Raw genomic sequence first — 3821 nt, forward strand, 5'->3', positions numbered from 1 at the left:
GAGAATTCATGGAATTGTAGATTTATAAGTGAATTACACTTGGAATAAATTTTCTTTCAGAACTTAGAAATATATGACAGGCCCGGCGTGGTGGCTCACGCCTGTAATCCCAGCACTTTGGGAGGATAAGCCAGGCGGATCAATGAGGTCAGGAGATCGAGACCATCCTGGCTAACACGGTGAAACCCCATCTCTACTAAAAATATAAAAAAATTAGCCAGGCGTGGTGGCGGGTGCCTGTAGTCCCGGCTACTCAGGAGGCTGAGGCAGGAGAATGGCATGAACCTGGGAGGCGCAGCTTGCAGTGAGCCGAGATCACACCACTGCACTCCAGCCCTGGTGACAGTGTGAGACTCCATCTCAAAAAAAAAAAAAAAAAAAGAAGAAATATATGACATTATTCATATAGTGAATGAGGTACACACCATCCTAAATTTTTCAACAATTCCTGTTACCAAACAAGGAGGTCAAGGATAGAAGCACTATTAAGTCCTAATTTTATATGCATTTTTTATATGATGATAAATTAATTATGTAGCAACTTAGAAAAGCTCAGTGCAGACGAAAATGTCACATTGTAAGCCACTGTAATAACATGGTAAACTTATTAATACCACAGGGGCTTTTATTTACCCTTTAACCAAAACTGTGAAGAAGCATCATAGCACTCATTCAGTGATAGTTCATAGGCAACTATGAACTGTCCATGAATGATCAGATTTATGCCTCACTACAGTTTATTTTCCATATGAAGAAGCTGAATCTCAGGCAGGTAGACTCACCCAACTTCTTATGCTGCACAGTAAGTGGCAGAGCGGGAATCTGAAGTCAGGCTTTATGATCCAGCCCTAGCATTACCCATTACACATGCCGCACACCTGTGACACCGTCTTCTCCTCGTTACTATTGCCAGTACCCCGTCATGTGGTTTCAGAGACCCATCTCTATTCCCAGGAAGAAAAGCATCTAAAATGCATTGACTCCATAGTGGAGTAATATAAATATTGTCATTCTTGGAAATTGTTTTAGAGTGGAAAAACCTGAGCTAAAGAGTTACGATCATCTGGGTTGAGGTTCAGTTCTCTTTCAGCTGCATGAGAATGGACAACTCATTTCATCTTTCTAAAGTTCAGCCTCCTCATCTATAGATACACCTGATAGAATATTTTTAAAAATTCAGGCATAATCTAAAACTTCACAGAGTGAAGTACTCAGACCTTACATGCATCTTTCAGTCTGGATGAACACATATTACATGCATTTCATAGGTTTCATTTTCATCTGTCTAGACATTACCCTCATGCACCTTTTCAGTCACCCCCACCCCGCAGAAAAGTAGCTGCTGATCTGTTTTCTGATTTGCTTTTTCTATATTTTTCTATAAATTGAATCATACAGGCTGGGCATGGTGGCTCATGCCTGTAATCCCAGGACTTTGGGAGGTCAAGGTGGGTGGATTGCGAGGTCAGGAGTTCAAGACCAGCCTGGCCAATATGGTGAAACCCCATCTCTACTAAAAATACAAAAATTAGCTGGGCACAGTGGCATGTGCCTGTAGTCCCAGCTACTTGGGAGGCTGAGGCAGAAGAATCGCTTGAACCTGGGAGGCGAAGCTTGCAGTGAGCCAAGACTGTGCCACTGCACTCCAGCCTGGGCAACAGAGAGAGACTCCATCTCAAAAAGAAAAAAATTGAATCATACAATATGTACTTTTTTGTGTATGTCTGGCTGCTTCTTTCACACTGTGTAACATGTTTAAGATTCACTTATGTTGTGGTGTGTAATTACAGTTCATTCCCATTAATAATAATTGGATGTAGGCATTAAAAGAGATAATGTACATTATTACCTGTAAAGGGCTCTATAAAAATACTCACAATTATTATTTAAAAGAGGAAGCCCAGGAACAAGAGAGTGTTAGAGCCAGGAAGAGGAATATCTAAGACTGTCATAGGCTAGAGTGTATTTGGAGTAAGGGGTTCATTAATTAGTGTCTGCCATATCACATTCTTTGTATGTTTAAGGTCATCCCATACCAGAAACATGTAAATTTGGCTTGTTTGGTCAAGCTGAGTTGGATTTAGTCTACCAGACCAGAATTTATTTTTCTGCTCAGCACAGACACCAAGAGTGCCTTCCACCTGTATTTCTGAAACACTCTCTTTTGCCCACCACAGAGACAGAACCCCTCCTCTGTTAGATTACATTTAAGAAAGCAGTGCGTGCAAGCCATCCATAATGCTGTCTTCAGAAACAGTCAAAACTTGTGGTGACAATTCCAGCCAGCTGTGAAATTCAGTTTTCCCAAGAGAACTTGAGGCTGGCCCTCATGAGTAGGATACAAATACTCCATTTCACAGAAGGTGATTTGGCCACAAAAAATAAATCCATACTCCAGAAAGAAATGGAATCATGGAGATATATAAAGTCCTTTTTTTTTTTTCTGGCAAAAACATTCTTCATTAGAAGCAGGATCTTCAAATCTAGACAGGAAGCAGGCACCATTCCCAAAGATTATTTGCAAGAATTACTCTAGAGGATGAGATATAAATATAAATGCTGAGTCCCCAAGCAAAAATCTCAGAAGCCTGTTAATTGAACTAACAGATGGGCTATGGAGACAGTCTCTTGTCAAGGTGGTAACTTGGGCAAGAATGATACCCTTAAAGGAAATATCAAGATATAGAAAGTTTATTAAAATATCACGGCGGAAGGTTTCAAGTCACATTTAGAGGAAGGTATAGAAGAAAGTCTCCTCAAAGTTGCAGCAAGCCAGTGGGTGTAAGTTTCCATCCTGCTTCCTGCAGAAACAACATCTGTTCTTACATTCAACACAGGCCACCTCTGATATTTATTGCATTTGCTGAATGCTGAAAGGATCTGAAATGTGAAACCTCTTGATCTGTCAGTAGTCTTGGATTTCTGTGAAAAGACGAGCTACATAATAGCACAAATTGGAGAAATTTCATTTATCTAAAAGACATAAATCTCCATCACAGTCGAATTCCCTTTCAATACACAACTGTAGAAGTTATAGCCAACCTTTGTCTTGTAACTTCCCCTTATTTTCATTCTCCTCTACATGCACAGCTCCATTTCCTTCAAAAAGATGCATTCCAGGTCATTCAGTCTTGACTTTAACCCATTCACTTGTCCAAAGCAAATTTAGCCTAAATGAGTGAAAGTCAAAACATGCGTTTTTTGGTCTCATTAAGCTCACAGTATCCTTGTGAGAGAAGAAGGAAATTTGGTTCATTAGCCTACCTGTGAATGAAGGATAACTTGCTTGTATTTCAGTGGAATTTATATTTTATTTTTATACAATGCTCAGGTTTCTTGGTTCTCATCAAAAAGTGAGGCTGGTTACTCAACAGAGCCCAGAAAACGATAGCAAATTTTAGTTGACATCACATGAGTTGTTTATCTGGGGAGCATAAATGGTTAAAAACAAAAAAAACAAACTTGGGTTTCATAATTTAAAGGTCTCTTTGAAAGAAGCAATAAATAAAAGAGGATGCCTAGAAGGTATTATAAACAAACAAAGTGGGTGAAAGGGTGGGAGACTCGATAAAGTTTCTGTGACGATTTCATGTGATGTCAACACTGAGACAGTTACTTAGCACAGACCAAAGGGTCCAATTGCCAGAGGTTAAAGTGACAGGCAATTAGAAGAGGTGGTATTCTTCTCCTTTCCTTTTTTTCCCCCTCCTTGTTTCATTTATTGAGTGCGCCCTTTATTCGTGATGCCGTCCCACTCACACAGCAGTGGAGAGACTGTTTTGAGAAAGTAATCCGAGTGAAGGTTAGTAAAAAAGCCAAAC

The 3821-nt window shown here is 39.9% G+C and overlaps 1 protein-coding gene across 4 annotated transcripts in view; it reads right to left on the reverse strand.

The window, feature by feature from the left end:
* Nucleotides 1-3821, reverse strand: part of SNTB1 (syntrophin beta 1) — a 276291-nt gene that overhangs the window by 176297 nt on the left and 96173 nt on the right. The gene's annotated exons all lie outside the window — the stretch shown is intronic.

This window comes from Homo sapiens, chromosome 8 (genome assembly GCF_000001405.40).
Source record: "Homo sapiens chromosome 8, GRCh38.p14 Primary Assembly".
NCBI classification, from domain to species: Eukaryota; Metazoa; Chordata; class Mammalia; order Primates; family Hominidae; genus Homo; species Homo sapiens.